Source organism: Homo sapiens, chromosome 5 (genome assembly GCF_000001405.40).
Source record: "Homo sapiens chromosome 5, GRCh38.p14 Primary Assembly".
Lineage (NCBI taxonomy): Eukaryota > Metazoa > Chordata > Mammalia > Primates > Hominidae > Homo > Homo sapiens.
In genome coordinates, this window is record NC_000005.10 from 169139802 (window position 1) to 169161501 (window position 21700).

The 21700-nt window shown below is 44.7% G+C and overlaps 1 protein-coding gene across 3 annotated transcripts in view, besides 1 other annotated feature; it reads right to left on the reverse strand.

The window, feature by feature from the left end:
• Nucleotides 1-21700, reverse strand: part of SLIT3 (slit guidance ligand 3) — a 639400-nt gene that overhangs the window by 478062 nt on the left and 139638 nt on the right. The gene's annotated exons all lie outside the window — the stretch shown is intronic.
• Nucleotides 1982-2150: a silencer, noted in NCBI's record as "fragment chr5:168568788-168568956 (GRCh37/hg19 assembly coordinates)". NCBI's record gives its function as "represses an EF-1alpha promoter that drives an FKBP-Casp9 reporter gene in an ReSE screen in phorbol 12-myristate 13-acetate-treated (for megakaryocytic differentiation) K562 erythroleukemia cells {active_cell/tissue: K562(+PMA)}" and the evidence as "EXISTENCE:reporter gene assay evidence [ECO:0000049][PMID:32094911]".

The following is a 21700-nucleotide window of genomic DNA, read 5'->3' on the forward strand; positions in this document are numbered from 1 at the left end:
CCCTTCCATCCCTGCCAAAACAGAATGCCGCTGAAGAATGCTACAAGAGAAAGCAATCTATCTGCCAGCATCCCAGGAACCTGTTCTGTGCCAGATACCCTCGCGAGCAAATATTGATATATTAACCGCAGCTCAGACACTGTAAGTGCAGCTAACATGCCTCAGTAGGGAGGGGCGGGCTGGCCTGCTGCCACCTCTCCAAGGCCTTCATCACAGCCAGAAATGGGTCCTTCTTCCTGGTGGAGGAATCTCTGCAGGGCCCTAGAACCAAGGCTGACTGGGGAGCAAGAGTCCAGGGAATACTAAAATAAAGTCCTGACGGTGGGCAAGTGGCACAGGCAGCTGGAGATGGGGCGAAGGTGTGCTCACAAAGAGCTCCGGGGCCAGGTGCGGTGGCTCACGCCTGTAATCCCAGCACTTTGGGAGACCAAAGTGGGCAGATCACGAGGTCAGGATTTCGAGACCAGCCTGGCCAACATGGTAAAACCCCGCCTCTACTAAAAATGCAAAAAAAAAAAAAAAAAAAAAAAAAAGCCAGGCATGGTGGTGTGTGCCTGTAGTCCCAGCTACTCGGAGGCTGAGACAGCAGAATTGCTTGTACCTGGGAGGCGGAGGTTGCAGTGAGCAGAGATTGCGCCATTGCACTCTGGCCTGGGCAACAAGAGTGAAACTCTAACTCAAAAAAAAAAAAAAAAAAAAAAAAAAAAAGACGCAGGCGGTCAGGCACGGTGGCTCACATCCACCTGTAATCCTTAAACTTTGGGAGCCTGAGGCAGAGGATCACTTGAGGCCAGGAGTCTGAGACCAGCCTGGACTACATAGTGAGACCCTGTGTCTACAAAGAGAGAAAAAAGTAGCTGGGCATGGCTGTGTGCCTGTAGCCCCAACCTCTCAGGAGGCTGAGGGGAGAATCTCTTGAGTCCAGAAGGTCTAGGCTGCAGTGAGCCATGATCACGCCGTCGCATTCCAATGTGGGTCACAGAGTGAGAGACCCTCTCTCAAAAAAGAATAATGCAGGCCAAAGTTTAGACCAACCATACCCCTCTCCCATTCAAAACCTCAGTGGTTCCTCACTGCCTTCTAAATTAAATATAAAACTCTTTAAATCTGGCCATCACCCTACAGTAGAACCCTACCCTTGAATCCAATCTCCATCTTGTCATCTTCATGCCCTATGCAAACTAATCCTCTTGTCATATCCAAAACAATTCCTTTTCACAATGCGATAAACTCAACTTACGTTTTTTCCTTTCTTTTTGCTCCCATATTGATCAGAATCTGACCTATCCTTCAAGACTCAGCTCGATGCTACCTGTTCCAAGAAGATTTCACTATTCCCTTTGCTTTGGGGATCCTTTCTCCCTCAAAATAGAATAGAAATAGAATTAGGTCTACCCCGACATGACCCCCAAATCATGGAACTATACACAAAGACATACTGACTACGACATCACCCCACAAATAAACAAAAACAAAAGGAAACTTAAAGCAAATCCACTGCAACAAAGCTGATTTTAGGATCTTAATTCTGCCTCTTTCCTTGCCACCTCCCCATCTTTGAAAAGGTTTTGTCCAGGCCTGAGACCTCAGAGACTGTAAGATTTTTTTTTGTTGTTTGTTTTGTTTTTTTTTTTGTTTTTTGATAAAGTCAGGTCAGGCTGGGTGTGGTGGCTCATGCCTGTAATCCCAGTACTTTGGGAGGCCAAGGTGGGCAGATCACGAGTTCAGGAGATCGAGACCATCCTGGCTAACACGGTGAAACCCTGTGTCTACTAAAAATACAAAAAATTAGCCAGGCGTGGTGGCGGGTGCCTGTAGTCCCAGCTACTCTGGAGGCTGAGGCAGGGTAATGGCTTGAACCCGGGAGGCGGAGCTTGCAGTAAGCCGAGATCGCGCCATTGCACTCCAGCCTGGGTGGCAGAGTGAGACTCTGTCTCAAAAAAAGAAAAAAAAAAAAGTTAACATCTCAGCCCAGAGCGGTGGCTCATGCCTGTAATCCCAGCACTTTGAGAGGCCGAGGCAGATGGATCACAAGGTCAGGAGATCGAGACCATCCTGACCTACATGGTGAAAACCCATCTCTACTAAAAATACAAAAATTAGCTGGGCGTGGTAGCGCATGCCTGTAATCCCAGCTACTCGGGAGGCTGAGGCAGGAGAATAGCGTGAACCTGGGAGGCAGAGCTTGCAGTGAGCCAAGATCGCACCAGTGCACTCCAGCCTGGGCGGCAGAGCGAGACTCCTACTCAAAAAAAAAATAAAAATAAAAATAAAAATAAAAATAAATAAATAAATAAATAAATAAATAAATAAATAAATAAAGTCAGGTCATGAGGGTGCATAATTCCACGGTGATTTCCCATCCATTGCACATTCACTGTGAATAGAAGCTAAAACTTAACCAGTTAACTTTATTTATACTCTGGATGGAGCCTTCTCTTTTAATAAAACAGAATCCGTTAAGGATTATAAACAAACAGTGTTTTATGAACTAAAACTGCAGTGCACTAGTCACTCAAGGGTAAAAACAGGGCTCTGGGTAGCTCAGCCAGCTATAAATAAAGATAAGGCCCTGCCAAGCAGGGACTTGGGCAGAGTAATTGCTGACTCCATAATCAGCTTCTCTCGTCTTCCTTCAGGCCCACAAATCACTCAGGTGTTGGGTCACTGCCCACTGGATTCAGCCCAGAGACACAGTGAAATAGCAAAGCAGTTCATTAGCTCTAAGACTGAGAGTATAAACTGGGACTCCTGGAATGACTAGGTTCCAAGTCAAACTATGGTGCGCCACCCCTGGCACTTGCATGGCTGGCCAAGCTGGGTCAACAGAACCCATAGGGTGAGCCTGTGCTACACTCTGGACATAAGCCCTAACTGGGGGATTTCACTAATGTTCATGTCTCTGCTAAACTTTGCCACCCTCTATGGGAAAACCTGCTCCTACCCCCACACCTACTCCTCACTCCAACCATGAGGTGGAGACTGTCAATAGCTCCAACTCAGGTCTTGGCCACAGTAATTGGTCCACGTGATAGGCATGTACTCCAAGCTGAGTCAATAATCTGTGATGGAGATTGTTCAAATTGGAGCTGGAAGAGAATGTTTCTTTCCAGGTTGGTCAGTAATAAAAGAATATATCTTTGGAGCTGCCAGAGGCCACCTTTCTTGCTATGTGAAGGGAGCCCATCTGCCCCAGGGAGAATGATGCTGAGATGCAAAAGGAAGCAGATAGGAAAGGAGGGTGGATCCTAATAGCCAGTAAGTCCCTATTTTTAATGTAAGTTGTGTCTCTGCCACTTTAACCCAAATAAACCTTATTAATACTATCTTCAGCTGAAAAGCAGATTATGAAACATTTAGCAAGTATATCATCATTAACTGAGCACCTACTAGGTGCCAGATACTGTACCATGCCATTCAGTAATAACAATGTAATTGTTGTTACTATTTATTCTGGATTTACAGTTTGCTAAGGGCATTCCATGGAATGTCATTTAATCCAAACACCACCAATAGATAGACAGTCTCACCTTCCTTTTGAAGATGTAGAAACTGATTCTTAAAGAGGTTAAATACCATCATCAAGTTATGTGGCTAAAGGTTAGTACAGCTAGGATATAAACTCAATCTGACACCAAAGTCGATGCCCTAACCCTCACACTACATTGCTGCAGTATGATTTCAACTTTGTTTGCATAAATAGTATGTATGCATTGGCCGGGTGCAGTGGCTCATACCTGTAATCCCAGCACTTCGGGAGGCCGAGGTGGGTGGATGACCTGAGGTCAGGAGTTCAAGACCAGCCCAGCCAACATGGCGAAAACCCGTCTCTACTAAAAAATACAAAAAATTAGTCGGGCATTGTGGTGCATGCCTGTAATCCCATCTACTCAGGAGGCTGAGGCCCGAGAATCACTTGAACCTGGGAGGTGGAACTGCAGTGAGCCGAGATCGTGCCATTGCACTCCAGCCTGGGTGACAGAGCCAGAAAACGAAAAAAAACAACAAAAACAGTATGTATGCACATGTGTGTGTGATGCATGCATTAATATATATCAGGGAGAGAGAAAGTGAGAGAGCACTCACAATGGGCAGAGTCACATGGCTCCATGGCAAAAAGTGGAGAGAAAATACAGAAATATCAAAGTAGAATGTCCTATTCTCTCAGCTGCCAACAGTAAGTAGTGTGAGTTAAGGACTATGATTCCAGCTTTGACTCTCCACTGTAAGAGAAAAGCAAGGTGCATAGTAGAATCTCCATGGTGTAGATGAGACAAGGGAATACCATTTTTATTTTATGGATGGGAAAAATGAGGGCCATTATGGTATCTCTGCTTCTTCCCATTGTCTTGTGACACTCACCTCGCCCAGCTCTGTGCCCTTTATTTTCCATTCTTTGAAGGTCACACTCGTTCCTGTCTTGGGGTCCTTGTACATGTTCTTCCCTAGGAGCAGAATGCTCCTTCCCTCCCATGTTTACCTTGCTGAGTTCCACTCCCGATCTCGGCCCCCAAGTCCCTTTGTCGGGGCCATCTTTCCTCATTACTGTCATGGCCCCTGCTTTACGTTCCCATAGTCTCTGTACTTTTCCTTTTGCAAATGTTTCACTGCTTCTAATTATTTATTTGGGTTATTGCTTCATTAACATCCGGCTCTCCCACCTGAGTATAAACTCTTAAAGGCATGGAACATGCTTGTCATCCTCACCATTTCATCCCAAGTATCTAGCACAGCGTCTAGATGCTCTCAATAAATGTTTGACAAGTAAGTGAATGATGGAAGGTGTGTTTAGAATGACACTGAAATAAAAAGTGCCCCTAACATGTGAATCCTCAGGAAGGGTCTGGTCTCTTTGGGAAGCCATGTCCACCACCCAAGGCCCTGGGCCACTGAGCTCAGTCCAGGCCTTCGGGCTGACTTCTATGGCAGGAGAATGCCCAATGGCCAAGACCTCAAAACCCAAGACCCGCAAGACGCAAAGTCCTGCAACCTGGGCAGAAAAAGACGGGCTTTGTCCTAAGCCCTACCCTGCAACAGCAGTTACGAATTGAGAAAAGAAGTAGCAAGACGGAAAATGTTGCCTGCCTGGGACGATGCATGCTCCTTCCCTCCCACCTTCCTTAATCTGCCAGGGAGCACCTTTTACATCCAGCCTGATTATGTTTAACCATGGGCTTTTTGTCTTCACCTTATAATTACCGCCGTTTTAAACCAAGGCACAAAATTAATTGCCCCTTAATGAAGGAGGGTAGCAATTAAGGGCAGCGAACCTTGTGAGGAAGGAGAAACACACATTTGTTCAAGGTGCATCATCAGAAGCCCGACTTTGGAGGCATCGTCATTATGGTTGTAATTATTTTCCAAGGCTGCGTGACACCTCCTTAGACCTGACCAGAATTGCCGGGCTCTGGAGAAACCCATTGTTTCTTCAGAGTTAATTAGAGTCCAATTTGGAGCTTCCTGTCTCCTGGACTACAGAGGAAACACAATTTATTATTGCTCGATGCCCACTAGGTCTGCTGAGGACAGGGGCCTTTCCGGTAGAGACATTGCAGGGCGTGTCAGTTTCTTCCCAGGTCAATGTTGCTTCTAAGGTATACATGTGCAGATGCTAGAGATGCCCAAAGCTGCAGGCAAAGCCCACAGACCTCCACTTAATGAGGCTCTCCATGTAAAAGGAAGCACACCTATGTTATTAGCCTTCTAGTAAATCAGCTACAATTAACTTCTTTATAGCTAAGGGGCCCAGCCACATACATTGGGCTCCTTGTCACCCGTTAACAGAGCTAATGACCTCAGATGGCTAAGAAACAGAGAGGGATGCTCTGTATGGATAAAACTGCATACTCATACATGCAGAGTAATAACCTATTCCTGCCAGCTTCTGGGCTCTGGAATAATGCTCAAGTCTCAAAGCTGAAGATGATAACATATCAACAACAACAATAACAGCTAACACACACTGGCCAGGCACAGTGGCTCACACCCATAAACCCAGCACTTTGGGAGGCCAAGGCGGACAGATTGCCTGAGGTCAGGAGCTCGAGGCCAGCCTGGCCAACATGGTGAAACCCCATCTCTACTAAAAATACAAAAATTAGCCAGGTGTGGTGGCACACACAACCTGTAGTCCCAGCTACTCTGGAGGTTGAGGCAGGAGAATCACTTAAACCCAGGAGGTGGAGGCTGCAGTGAGCCGAGATCGCACCACTCCACTCCAGCCTGGGCAACAGAGCAATACTCTGTCTCAAAAAAAATAATAGCTAACACATACTGAGATCCTATCACATGTGAGGCACTTTTGATTCTTACAAGAACCTCATGAGGAATGTATTACGAATATCTCTCCATTTTACAGTACTGAGAAGAAACTGAGGCACGGATAGGTTGAGTCACTTCTCTAAGGATATGCAATTAATAAGTGGCAAAACAAGAATTCAAACCCAGGCAGCCAGGCTGCAAGGTATTTGTTCTTAACCGCAAAACGTATTCCCTCTTAAGCACAGGCTGGTGATGTTGCAAAATAATACATGACGCAGTGTTTGGCCCATGTTCCTGCTAACCAATGGCGGTTTTCTCTTTCAAACGAGGGAATCTACTGCCCTGACGGAGCCTGATGCCTCCCGGGATTCCATCAGCTGCAGGGCTTTCATCACTTCATTTCCCCTGGTTCTGGTTTGATGACAATGGCTTGAAGTTCAAGGCCCTTCACAAGCCAGCTGGCTCTAGCCATCCCTTCTGACCTCCACACCCCCTTCTCTGTTATCCACCTGCTCAGATCACCCGGCTCCTCCTGCCTCCACTGCTACCTGCACACCTCTCACCCACCAGGATGCTCTCCCTGCTTCTCTAAGCTCTTCCAAACCCAAGTCACACCCCCAGTTGACACCTGTGCCAAACACCCAGCTCACAGAGCCCCCCTTCTTCCTTCAAACCAATATAATCCTGAGGGCTTTTAGGCCTCACCTTGCACATATATTTGCCTAGCTGATATTTACAAGTACATTTTTAAATGCAGGGTACCAACCCATTATCTTTTTATGCAGCAGAATGCTGGAGCTGCCACTTACTAGCTGTGTGAACTTGGACAAGTTGCTTAGCTTCTATGTGCCTTAAGTTTCCTCATCTGTAGCATGGAGATAGTGATTGTGCCTATCTCACAGTGTGGTCTGCAGTTAATACAAGAAAACTACTTAGCCTAGTGTCTGGCTCATAGTAAGTGCTTGCTAAATGTCAATTGTTATTGTCTGTCATACTGGATTGATAGCTCCTTGAAGATGCAACCATATCTGATACTCCTATGCAGCCCCCACAGTGGGTCCAGCACAGGGCTATTTCTGAGGCTAGATACATCTTTGGGTAGATACACCTTTCACCAAATTTGTTCCAGCCACACATCAGAAAAAAATGTCAGAGGGTCTGGCACATAGCAGGACTTTGACAAACACATAAATCCATCTTTTAAAATATTTTTAAAAATTTTTGGAGATGGAGTCTCACTCTCTTGCCCAGGCTGGAGTGCAATGGCACGATATCAGCTCACTGCAACCTCCACCTCCCGGGTTCAAGCGATTCTCCTGCCTCAGCCTCCTGAGCAGCTGTGACTATGGGCACGTGCCACCATGCTTGGCTAATTTTTACTACAGACAGGGTTTGATCGTGTTAGCCAGGATGGTCTCAATCTCCTGACCTCATGATCTGCCCATCTGCAACCCCCAAAGTGCTGGGATTACAGTCATGAGCCACCACGCCTGGCCATAAATCAATATTTGATGGTGCTTTGTACATTACAGCACTATCCACGAGGTTAGGTGGTTTTATCCTTAGTATTGACTTGCAAGTATTTATCTTTCTATGGACTGATCTGAGAGTTCTTGGCCCTCTGCCCCTTTCTCTCTAATCCAGCTGAAGAGGGCCAGGATGAGAGTATAGAGATACCAGGGGCCTCCTGCTTTTCAGTAGAGGGTGTCTGGTGCAACCTGCGCCAGCTGTCAAGTATCCCTGGGCCTTAGATGTCTAAGAAGTAAAACCCTCCTGATGTTGACTCTCTCAGTACCCCACCTACTGCCATGAAAACAGAGCTGTGTGCCTTTCCCTTTTCCTCCGTCTTCTCTCTGCCCCCTCCTTGGCTGGTGCCCTGTACGCCTGAAGCCAAAAAGGAAGCCCCCTTTTTTTCTTAGAGAAAGATTCCAAGAAGATTCGTTCCTGTCTGTTTTTGCAGGTCAGGGAAAGAAGATGAGGTGTGGGTTAGCCAGCTTTGGAAGTCAGCCATCATATCTCCACGTACCAGGTTCCAATCTCAGGTCCTCCTTCCATGCAGCTCCAAGTCCTTCCAGAGTAATCCAGGCCTCAGTCACTATTGCTGCTTATGTTCAGGGTCAGAATTGTTCACGTTTGTTTTGATGCCACTGAAAAACCTCAGTGGATTTTGAAAAATGTAGATGGTCCCAGCAGCCAATGCCGGGCCCGTATTTAACCAATTTAACTTTGCAAAATGCTCCAACTATACACATGCTTGGGCTGCTGCTCAGAGCTCTTTTTAAAAGGCCGAAGAGGAAATAAAAATGAATGATGATGACAAAACGTCCACACGGGCAGAAAAAACAGAATAGCCTGAAAGCTCCAGGGCAGGAACTGACACAATTTAATTAACTATTTGGAATAAACATGTTTGGTGCTGCTAGCAGAGGTGTTTGTTTGCCTTCACAAAATCATGCTCTTAATAAGTCTGAGATTAAACCTTCTAGAGAGTAATTAAATGCAACACCTTGACTTGAAATGTTAGGAATGGCCAAGCAGGCATAATATTTTCTTTGCACGTTGTTCTGTGGCTGTCGTCATCTCGCATAAACAATCCCTGACCTCGGTTATGTGTTGTATAAAAATTGTTACTAATTGTGATTTGGCATTGGTGCTCAGTATAAAATGTATATTCCTTAAATAATGTAATAAATGTTTAACAAGGAAACGGAGTGGATAAAATTTAAACAGTAGTGGAGCTGACACATTTAATTATATCCTAGAAGTCATAAACTGCTCTCCAAGACAAATCGGTGATGTTTGTGACTAACAGTGTTACTTAAAAAAAAAAAAATCACAATACCTGCCATTTATTGGAAAACCTTATCCCAGACGCTGTGCTCAGTGTACATCTACTATTCACAGAAGTCCTTTAAAGCAGTATCGTTATTCCCATTTTATAGAGGAGAAAACAGAGACAGAAAGCCTGCATGACCCGCCAAAAGCTACAGAGCTATTAAGTGGAGGAAACTGAGATTTGAAAGCCAGATCTCCTTAACTCTAAATTCCATGGCCACAAGCTAGTCCGATCTCCTAAAACAGAAGAAACACAGCCTGGGAAATTCTAATCACACACTAATTGCATGACAAATTAAGAGGAAATGACGCTAACAGATTTTATTTGATTGCTTATAGAAAGGCATTTTGTAGTCAATGATTGTTTGGCGGTAAAATTATTGTAAATGGTCTTGTTAGAAAAAAAGATACAGCCTAAACTTATGAGAGAATACAACATGGGCTTTTTTTTTTTTTTCAACTTGTGGTAATTCTCCTTGATTAATTCCAGCTCTAAAATTCTGTTCCTGCATCTGCACTGCAGTCTGGCTCTTCACCTCTGAGGGCTCTGCAATGATTGACTTTTGACTTTTCAAATCCATCTGTAAGAGACCCAGACTCCAGAGACCCCTGGTACACCCTCTAGTGGCTATCAGCACAAGTCCACAGAATCAAAGAAACTGGGAGGGGAAAAGGGGCCACCGTTTACCTACTTTTGTGAACAGTGGTGAAAGTGAAGAGGAGGAAATTGATGTTCCACAGCTTGAAAGATCAAGGGCATGAATAACGTAAAATGGTTTTTAAAATCTGGTTACACAAAAGTGTCCCGAACTAGGACGATCTGACAGCACACACTTGTGATCAAATTCCAACAGATTCTTCTCTCCCGAGTCAGGTGAGATGGTCAATGTTAGCTGGTCCTTACTTCAGCAGAATCTAAGCTCTAGCCACAGTGGATGTGATGGCATGAGATGGCTGCAGCAGGCTAGATGAGACCCTCTACTTTTGTTGACTTCCCTCTATGCCAGGAACTATGCCAAGTACTATCACTGCGTATCTCCTTTAATTCTCATTTGATCATTCCTGTTTTACAGATGAAGACATCGAGGTTCTGGAAGATAAAATAACTTGCCCACCATCACGTGGCCAGTGTGTGGGATTTCAACCCTGGAAGTTAGATGCCAAAACCAGGCTCTTCACACCATTACATTTTGATGGGCAATTGGATATTATAAATATGCCTTATATGAGCAACAAATCAACAAATAATTAGTTTCTGTTTTATGAAGACCTCTGCAAATTAGCAAGAGTTTTTCTGAATCTGCTCCCCGCTCCAACCCCTAATATCCTGTTGTAGTCCAGATCTCTAAGTTAATTACTATACCAGGCACTTCACGGCAGAGAAAAACATCACAGATGCCTTGTGTGCTTGCCATGATCTGGTCTAGGCCAGGACCACAAATGGCTAATGAGGTTAAATACAAAATAAGATAAGGATAAAGCTGTGAGGCTGTGCAGGTTCTCTGAGACATGCAGAACACTTGGGCCTAAACAAAGGTCTAACTAAGGAAGAAAAAATGGTCTCTGTCCCAGACTGGGATCGAGGAACAATTTCCCATCCCATTCTATTTCACTCACATACACACACACACACACACACACACACACCCTTACCTCACATAGGGATGTACAAACTTTGAATGGAGTAATGGAGCAGTAATGTCTGTTTTAATCGCCCTGGCCCCTCTTTGCCTTATGGAGGCACCAGGATGAAGGAGGTGAAAGGCTGACTTAAGAGTCAGGTAAACTACCTCCTGCTGTGTTTTAATACTAATGCATTGTGACCTTGAACAAGAACTTGAACAAGAGTTCACATCTGCATAAGAGAGGTCTTATCTACTGGTCTCCAAAGGATCTGGGGATATGGAGCAGGATCCAGCCATCACCCTGTAAATTACCTGCCATTCTTAAAAACCCACCCTTACACGTAGCTTGGGAATCAGCAATCTGATTTCATGCGGGAGATGCTGGAAACATCTGCTGAAATTAATTCTCCAGTAATTTGGAAAGATCAAAACTCAAACCTTTTCTGACCCTAAGAAAGAGGGTCCTAAGCTCCCTACAGCTGGACTTCCAGATAAGAAGGATCTAGTAGTGAGGAAAAAAAAACTCTAAAAATACAATTTGGGACTTGGGACCCAGGTGGCAGTTCAGGAATCAGGGCTGGAACACAGAAGAGAAGTGAAAGGGACACCAGGATCGACGTTTGAAACAGAAGCAGTGACCACCCCCTGCTTCCCACTGAGCAAGTGATTCCTTGCCTTGCCTTGACCATCTCTCTCTCAGCACAGCAGGTGGCCCTTTCATTAAATGCATCATTTGCAGCCCATTGCCGCCTGGGAGTGTATTTCCCTCTACCCTGAGTGGTCCTGCTTCCCCTTTTATAGGGATCAAACCTCCTGCCCTCATTTCTGAGACTTCCCTGAGCTCCATCCATAGTACCACTGCGACTGGGTTCTAATGGCCTATCACACTGAAAGCAGAATACTCCAAAGAGCTCACTCACTTTAAAAGCCAGCCTGGAATAACAGCTTTGGCAGGGAGAAAAACCAATGCTGGGACAGCCCTCCTGTAAGGGACCAAAATGAGCTTCCTTGAGAGTACACAAGAAAGAATTTGAGTACTTTGTCAGCCCTGGGAGAAGACATGCTGGCTGCCTGTTCACTTGGCATCAATGTCATCTTTCTTGGAAACTTTATTTAGTGAGATGACTTGGCCATTTGCTACTAACTTCCCAGGCTTGTGATGAGAGCAAGCCAGAGAGCCCAGCCCTGTAAAGTACTAGGGTCGGCTCCTTTTAGCCTCTGAAAGGCCTGCCTTCCTCATCGAGTAAGTGGGCACATCCCTCAGTGGTCAGGAAAAGATAGAGAAAGAGGCAGAAGAGCAAACTGGTGAAGGCTTTGGAGATGCTAGATCTGACTTCAAATCCTGCCCCTGCCTCTTACAAGCTGAGCAACCCTATTCAATCATTCTGCCTTAGTTTCCCACCTATGAAATGAGGATGATCAGAGCACCTGTCTCAAGGTGTTGTTTGAAAAGCAAATAGAATAAAGCTTGTGCAACACTTAGCACAAAATGAGATCTCAATACTTGCTGTTGACATCCTCATCATTATTAGTTTTGTTATTATGGCTGAAAGGTTAGTAGATGAATGTTTCCTTGACCAGGCAACACTGGACCCAGAGAGGTCATGTGATTATGGTACAAAGAGCCCCAGGTTTGAAGTCAGGGGGCCTTGGCTCAAATGCTTGCTCTGTAACTTCCAGGAAAACCACAGCACACACAAATTTAAATTGAGCAAATTCAACTATGTGCATTTCTCACAAAGAAGAAAGAGAAAGTCAACAACTGAAATGGTCACCTGCCACATCACTCAGAAAGCAAATACCTGCAGTGAGCGTGGAAGGGGAGACTCGAACCTGCTGATCCCTCAGCTTCTGCAGGTGTCCCGCGTGCATGCATCTCAGCAGGCTGAGTATTAAGAAACTTGACCTCTAAATGTAAGTCACCTGAATTTGGCTGGTAGTCCACTGAAGGAACTAATCTCTTCCAGCTCTTCGGGGGCAAAGTGTCTGGGCACCGCCTCGTGGGGATGACTTGCAGCATTTTGCGGGGTAATTTTGACCACGTGTACCTTTTTTGGCTTACAGGTGAGTATATGGGCTGAGAGTCTACTCTAGAGCTGTGTGGGCGTGGCACATGGTGAACGTCAAGATCCTTATCAGAAAAGTGGAAGACAGCAGGCCTGCCCAGTGTATCCAATACCATCAGTGATAGAAAATCTATCCATGTGTTTTGTAAACCATACTCAGAAATATAGGGAATAATTATTTCCTTCCCTGACACTGTGAGTGTCCTAGTTTCAGACTCAGAGTGTGAGGGGCTGTAATGACACCTACCCCGGTATGTCACATTCCCAGAGCTTAAGAACAGGCACTCCCACCTGGACCCAAGGAAGCAGCCAAAGGGGGCTTCCCCCAAATTAGGTATAGCCTGGTTTCGCTGTGAGTCATTCTCAGCTCTACGGTCTCCAGAAAGGTGGCACTTTCCCTTTTTCAGGTTAAAAGCATTCTAAAAATACCTTCAGAAGGCTCTGAATGTCCCCATAGTCATCCCTGCTCTGATTTCAATCCAGTTCACATTTCCCATAGTGTGTGTCTGGATAAGACATCACTTCGGCTGACGTGGGCCAGGTTCAGAATGCACAGCAGGATACTGACAAGTCGCCTCAAATCAAGCTATGTCGCCCACCCCTCACTCCATTTGGGCCAATGGGGAGGGGAGGAGGAATCCTCAGCCCCACCCCACCCCCACCCGCTACTTTGACTTAGCTAAATTCCCAATTATTTGGCAAATGGACAAGTAACGATTTTCTCTCCCTGAACAACCCTTGAAATTCACAACTGCCATGTGCACTCTTCAGGCTTCACACAGCAATGGAAAGCATATTGGGCAGCTTTCAGGTGCTTTTGCAGAATTCAAATTCTTTTAACAAATATTACAACCTGTAAACTGTGGCAGTGGACTGTATTTTATTTGAGCAGCAAAGTGGTATTGCAAAACCCAAGTTTGCTGTCTTACTCTCTCTACAAACAGACTGTCAGACAATACTCAGATCCTTGGCTTTTCTTAAATATGCAGGCCTGCGTTTTATCTTTGGCTCTAGGACAGGCTGAACGTCAGGCACAGGCTGCTAGTAGTCTGCCTGAAGGGCTTGTCCTAAATCAGCACAAGAAGTTAATTATCTCTTGGGCAGAGGGGATGTTGGGATTTCTGCCTTGCAGGCCAGGACTCCCCAACATGAATGTTGCTTTGACTCTGATTCTAACCCTTTCCTTTTAGCTCAACTTTTGCCTTCAGTGTGGAGTCTCTCCTTGAACTCTAGTTCTGGTTATTGGCTGCAGATGTCTTCCTTCGGCCAGACTCCATCAAGGTGAACTACTTGGCCCCTTAGTTCAAGTTCATGCATGGGGTCCTACTCTGAACCCCAGCCACCCAGCTGTAACCTTGACAGACTCCCTTGATGCTCCCAGCCTTTTTTTTTTTTTTTTTGTGAGACAGAGTCTTGCTCTGTCACCCAGGCTGAAGTGCAGTGGTGTCATCTCAGCTCACTGCAAGCTCCACCTCCTGGGTTCACGCCATTCTCCTGCCTCAGCCTCCTGAGTAGCTGGGACTACAGGCACCCACCACCAAGCCTGGCTAATTTTTTGTATTTTTAGTAGAGACGGGGTTTCACCGTGGTCTCGATCTCCTGACCTCGTGATCCACCCACCTCGGCCTCCCAAAGTTCTGGGATTACAGGCGTGAGCCACCGTGCCTGGCCGATGCTGCCAGCCTTTTCAGAGCTCTGGGTAACATAGACTCTTAATGTTTCCATCATTTTGTTCTGCTTCTATTACTTCTAATTGTACTTCCCTATGCTGCTGGCTCCTTGGCCATACCCTGCACTTCCTGAGTTCTGCCTGCTGCCATCCTATAGGTGGGCATGACTCTCTACCCCTTCTGCCTAGTCCTAGGGTTCTAGGTCCAGCTCCTGCCTGGCAGACACATCTCATTGCTGAGAACAAGGCCATGCTCAGGTGCATCCTGAGAGAGGGACTGTTGAGTTAACAGCATAGGCTCTGGGTCAAATCCCAGCCCCAGAGCTCCATTGGCTGTGCAAACTCGAACATGTTCCTCAATCACTTTATTCCTCATTAATAAAGTCAAGACAGCTTCATGGAATTATTGAGGGAATTAAATTTGTGATGAATGTAAATTTGTAATGAATATAAAGGCTAGCACAATGCTTGGTACTTTTAAAATGCACTATAAATGTTAGTTATTACCTTGGGTGGTGTGGACATTCAGGAATTCTAAAACTTAGTTTGAAATATGTAGCAAACTGAGAACAAGGATCAAAGAAAATAAGCATGATCAGCAGAACGTTCTTCTTGAATGTTATAAGCTCATCGAGGCTTTTCCAAATTAACCTTCAAAGCAATCTCAGACCAAGCCATCTTTGGACTACATCTCATGGTAAAAAGAATGCTTTCCTCAGGAACATCAACAGAAGGAATCATCTAAAAATCAGCTCTAAGAATCAGATAGGATGACAAAGTTGAAGACAGTCAGTTTGGCTTACCAGCTTCACCAAGACCTGGTTAAAGTAATGACAGTGTGCACAATAAGTTGCAGTTTTTGGTAACCTAGCGTCAGCAGCTAGTGTTTGAGCCAATCAACCCTGTGTCTGCGAGTCAGATAGGGACCAATTTGCCAAGCACATCCACATATTTTCCTTAACAAAAGGACAATACACTGAAGTCTTCCCTATCAACAGTCAGCTTTTGGAGGCTGCATTCCTACTCAGACAAAGCAAGACTGTTCCAACCACCGTCAACACCTCGGTGTCTGCAGCTAATAGTGATCCAAACCTTTTTCCTGGCCTAAGTCACATTTACATAATGCAACATCATGCATAATTTGGATCTGAAATTAATTTATTGAAAACCCCACTGCCCCACAAGCTGCTAAAGGTATAAACCTTTTGTCCTAGGTAAAAATCAAAGCACTTGGAGCAAAAGATCCCCAAATATAAAGAGATCTCAATTCTAACGTAGATACAAGGCTGGGACTGGGAGAAGGTAGAGAGAAAATATGAGCCTGAGTCTTTGCTCACTGCAGTGAGTCTATGCTTCTGGGTAACCTGGGGGACTTGGCTCTTTGGAGGAAACCCAAGGCAGAATTCTGAGGTTTTTCCTTTCCTTTGAAGTAAGAGTTTGCAGGGGACATGGATCTGACTAAGGCATAGCCCTCCAATTCTCCAAGTGACAAATGTAAATTGGCTTTATCTTTTCTAAAGGGACAGAAGTGGCCACAGATAGTAAGAAAAGTTGCCTGTGCACCCTGGTTAGAAGGACCACCACTACTCCTTCTGTTCAACGTATGAACTGCTCCACCTCGCCTACAGTAGCACATCCCATAAGCTGCCTCTTCAGGACACCAGTCCAGAGAGCAGTGCTCCATAACAAAATGGATCCGTGACGGGGTAAAGTTGAAAAACACTGAAGATTTGCAATGTACATCAGCATATTAAAGGTTCTTCAAAGGTTCCACAGAAAGTTATTTTACTTATTTTAACCTAATATTTCTCAAATGTGTTTGATCATGAAAACTTATTAACTTCTCACCCCATAGAAGCCTCAGGAAACATTCTGCAGAATGTCAGGCTCACTACTATGAGATGCCCAGGTCATTCTCCTAACTGGTAAAGAGAAAACGAACAACTTTCTTCCTATCTCATTCCCTTCTGACAAAGAGTGAGAAATCAATACAGTGGAGTAAAGGGAAGCCTCTGAAAATACCTTTTCCTCTAAGATAAATGCCTCCCAGAAAGCCACAGTGTACATGCACACGTGTACAGGGCCAAGTAACATCCTCTTTAATGCCCTTTATCACCCTAATGAAGCATTCCCTAATTGATCTCTCACCCCCAATGGCTAATTTGACAAGTGAACTCTCAGCCTGTCAATAGTCCTCGTGTTCGAGAAGCCTGGTTCTAGGATCTGCAGACGTATTCCCTGGCTGTGGAGATGGGAAGGCACATCTGTGCCCATTTCCTGCCCTGTCTGGGCTGTTTTTTCCCCTTGGTGGAGAGCATCTTCTACAACATTACTGATGGGCACCAGGCAGTATCACTAAAAATACTCACTAAGAGATTGAAAGGTAATCATACATGAGCAAACGATGGTGCAAACCACCAGGTGGCTCAAGTCGCTCTGTCAGAACCATTGAGGTACCTGATGATATACATAAAAAGCTATCTAGAGGACTTCTACTTATGGAAAGATGGCGTAGATGTGCTTTTGCTTATTCATCACACTGAGTTGAATTTAAAGCCTTGAGCATTATACAAAACAAACACCAGAAGACTCTCAGAGGCAGGAGAGCAGAAGGCAGGCTGGCAAGGGACTTGGGACCTCAGGAATGACACAGATGGTGGTGAGTTCTCTGGGTTTTCCTTTTGCTTCATATATCTCCAACCTGGCAGCTTAGTAAACAGAAAACTTGAAGACAATAATCACTTGACTCTAACGAGATACCACACACAAAAAAATCTGGCCCCCCCCACCTCCACCAGCACTGGCTGAATAGGGAGCCTAGACAAAGTACCCCAAGTCCCTGCTGGAGTAGTATCAGAGAAGGCCAAGTAGGGAGCTAGGACTCTGAACTTTGCTGAGTAGTGATGAAGTCCCTCCATACAATGTCAGCAGAGACTGTAAGGAGTGGCTGGTCTTCCACGCCCACTTGGCAACAGATAAAAGGTACCCCTCCCCTGTGACATAATTGTGGGAGTGATGTCAGAGGAGTTCTATGGAATGTCAGTACTTTCACCAGCACCCAGCAGTAAAGAAGCCACCCCTGCCCCTTCTACCCTGAGGTGTTGGGAGGCCATGTGGGAAACAGTAATAAGGCATGCTTGCCCTCCCAGCCAGGTGGTATCAACAGACACCAAGTGAAGAGCTGAAATTCCCACACCTACTTAGCAGTAACAAAGATCCCCTCCCCCCAGGTATCAGTGGAGGCCAAGTAGAGAATTTGGATTTCCACCCCTATCTGGCCATAACAATGCAATGCCTCCCCTTCCCATGTCAGAGCAGTATCAAAAGCCAGCTAAAACAGAAGATTCAATAAGATCCAGAGTCGCACAACATAATACTCAAAATGTCCAGTTTCAATAGAAAACCACTCATCATGCAGTGAATAAGAAAAAACCAACTTATATGAGAAATGACAATCAAAAGATGCCACCACTGATTTGGATTTTAAAACAGCCATGCTAGAAATGTTTTTATGAACAATAAGGAACATGTTTGATAGAAATGAAACACTAGAATGTCTCAGCAAAAAACAAAGAAAAAAGAACCAAATGAAAATTTCAGGAAAAAATAGCCAAAATAAAAAATTCAATGAATGGGTTCCACCGTAAAATTGAGTGTAGAACAATAAAAATTACACAATCTGAACAACAGAGAGAAAACAGAATTAAAAAAAAAAAATGAACAGAGCCCCAGGGATCAAACACTTGTATAATCAGATATCAAAAAGAAGAGGGAGAGAAAGGATGGGGCTTAAAAAATACATGAAGAAATAATGGTTGAGACATTTCTAAATTTGGAAAAAGACAGAAACCTACAGATTAAATAAGGTGAGAAGATCCCAAACTGGATAAATCCAAAGAAATCTATGCCAAGACGCACCATAGAAAAATTTCTGGAAATAACAAAATCTTGAAACCAGCAAGAGAGAAACAATACTTTACTGACTTACCTACAGGGGAAAAAGAATTCAAATGACTGCATATTTCTCATCAGAAACCATGAAGTCCAGAAGGAAGTGACACAATTTTTTTTCAAGGGCTGAAAGAAAAGATCTGTCAACCCAGAATTCTATATCCAGCCAAAAATATCCTTTGGAATGAAGGGAAAATCAAGAAATTCTCAGATGAAAGGAAACTAAGAAAATTTGTCACTAGCAGATGGCCCCTAAAAGATGGCTAAAAAAAAATCCTCTAAACAAAAAGAAAATGACTATTAGAATATTCAGAAAAAGGAAGAACAATGGAAAGAGTAAAAATATGGGAAAATATATTTCCTTCTTAAATTTCCTAAATTATGTTTGGTGATTAAAGCAAAAATTATAACTACTGTCTGGTGTGGTTTTCCAGTTTATGTAGAAATATTTAAGACAATTATATTGTAATAGGGGAGGGCAAAGGAACATAAAGGGAAGTGAGGTTTCTACACTTCAGTTTAACTAGTAAATTGTCAACACCAGTAGAATGTGATAAGTTATGCACATATAATACCTAGAGGCACTACTAAAAATGCTATACAGAAAAAGAATCAAAAACCTATAAATAAATCAAAATGGAATTCTAAAAAATGTTCTTGTAACCCACAAGAAAACAAGGAAACTAAAAACAGAACAAACAGAAAACAAAAAATAAAATGGCAGACTTGGCACACCAATAATTACATTAAATGTAAATGGTCTAAATATGCCAATTAAAAAACAGAGACTGAGGCCGGGCATGGTGGCTCATGCCTGTAATCCCAGTGCTTTGGGAGGCTGAGGCGGGCAGATCACCTGAGGTCTAAATATACCAATTAAAAAACAGAGACTGAGGCTGGGCATGGTGGCTCATGCCTGTAATCCCAGCGTTTTGGGAGGCCGAGGTGGGCAGATCACCTGAGGTCAAGAGTTCGAGACCAGCCTGACCAACATGGAGAAACCCTGTCTCTACTAATAATACAAAAATTAGCCATGGAGAAACCCTGTCTCTACTAATAATACAAAAATTAGCCATGCATGGTGGCACATGCCTGTAATCCCAAATACACAGGAGGCTGAGGCAAGAGAATGGCTTGAACCCGGGAGGTAGAGATTGCAGTGAGCTGAGATCGTGCCATTGCACTCCAGCTTGGGCAACAAGAGCGAAACTCCATCTCAAAAAAACAAAACAACAACAGCAGCAAAAAACAGAGACTGGTAGATTTTTTTAAAAAGCATGACCCAGGCCAGGCGCGGTAGCTCACGCCTGTAATCCCAGCACTTTGGGAGGCTGAGGTGGGCGGATCACAAGGTCAGCACATCGAGACCACCCTGGCTAACATGGTGAAACCCCGTCTCTACTAAAAATACACAAAAATTAGTTGGGCGTGGTGGCAGGCACCTGTAGGCCCAGCTACTCGGGAGGCTGAGGCAGAAGAATGGCGTGAACCTGGGAGGCAGAGCTTGCAGTGAGCCCAGATTGCACCACTGCACTCCAGCCTGGGTGACAGAGCAAGACTCCGTCTCTTAAACAAACAAACAAAAAAAAGCATGACCCAACTATACGCTAACGTGATATAAGCAAAAGTGCTACATGGCTACTTCCCTTAAAATGCAACCAGCACATGCCCTTTCCCATTTTTTGTTTTTCCTTCATTCTGCCTCTTAGAAAATGTATATAATGGCTGCCACTCCAACTTAGACTACTGGGATAAGGCCACAACATAGGGATAATAGAACAAAGCCAAATCAACCTGGGTCTCTGAGCACTTGGTAGAGCAGAACTACCATACCAACTATAGATTTCCTAATTGTAGATTCATAAAGAAAAACAAATCTCTACCTTGTTTAAGCCATTACTAAGGGGTTTTATGTTCCTTTAGTTGAACTTAATCCTCACTGATCCCAAAGAGTTGTACTTACTGAAGGCTATTACATGTCTATCACTGTGCCATGCCATTCAGAGAGATTATTTTAATGGTCTGAGGAGGAAGACACTACTATTATCTTCCTTTTATAATGAGAAAATTACTGCTCAGAGAAGTTAAGTGACTTGCCTAAGGGCACACATCTCACCTGCCCAGTGTGAACCTCACTTGTCTAACTTTAAGGCCTAGGCTATTAACCTTTATTTACAGTGTAAATGAAATCCAGTGAAATACCTAAGAAAAAAGAGACGTGTCCATTCCTCTTAGCCTGGGTGAAAGGCTTCCTTTCACAGTCACAGGGGGCGATGATGAGTTCAGAAAAACCTTTAATTCATCAAGCATTTCTAAAGAGTTAGCCAAGATTCTTTTTGAATTTATCATCCGTTTGGACATAATTAAGCAATTAATCAATCAGTCCCCTCATTCACTCAACAAACATTTATAAAGGCCTCATGGTGCCAGGACTTGAGATAAGCTGGAGGAATGAATCAAGTGATACAACCCTATCCCTCCCAGCATCCCCAGCGTGGGCTGGGCACTGAGCTCGTTTACTTTCAAAGCTGATTTTTTTCCACATTTCATTGCTCAGCTCCAAGCCAAAGATGTCAAACAGGCCAACCACGTGAAGCCCATTCTCCCAGAAGCCCCATTGTTCCATCCACCTACACTTTGAGGGATCCAGGTCAGCATTTCCCTTTTAGCTCTCTAACATGGCAATGGGAGACTTTGATGTCTCACCTTGCAGAGAAAAGAAAAAAGGGCAGAAAGCCTTCAGAGATGGTGGCCAAAAAAGCTTTGAGATCATGCGAATCCCCAGCGGCATGGCTTGGTCTTTCCTCTATGTTGTTCCTTGGAATGAAAAGCGGATTTTTCTAGCTTCTCTCTCACTCCTACATACGTCCCCACCCAGCTCTCAGCTCCTGGCAGTGCCAGCACTCACATCTAGGGATAACAGTTAAAATCGCCTCCTCCTCCTCTGACAATGAAATATGGCATACCATTTGGCATCCCAGCGGTGCCCCAGTCTCCTGACCCCTGGCAGGGTCCCAGGGGATTTGTGGTCGGCCGCTAATTCAGAGCCCTGGCCATAGCCATTTCCCATGACATAGCTGGAATTCTCCCACTGCCTGCCCTCTCAGCTTCAGTTACTCTGCCATGCTGAAACTATTTGCTCCCCTCCCACCCTGTCCATCACTGCCCCTTCCTTGGGCCGAGCCTCTGTACCCGCCCACTGGCTAGACTCCTGAGGCCCTCCATGGGGGAGCTGCAAATCTCTCTTCACTTTTATTACTGACCCGCATCCTGCCGCCTCCACTCCTTCAGCC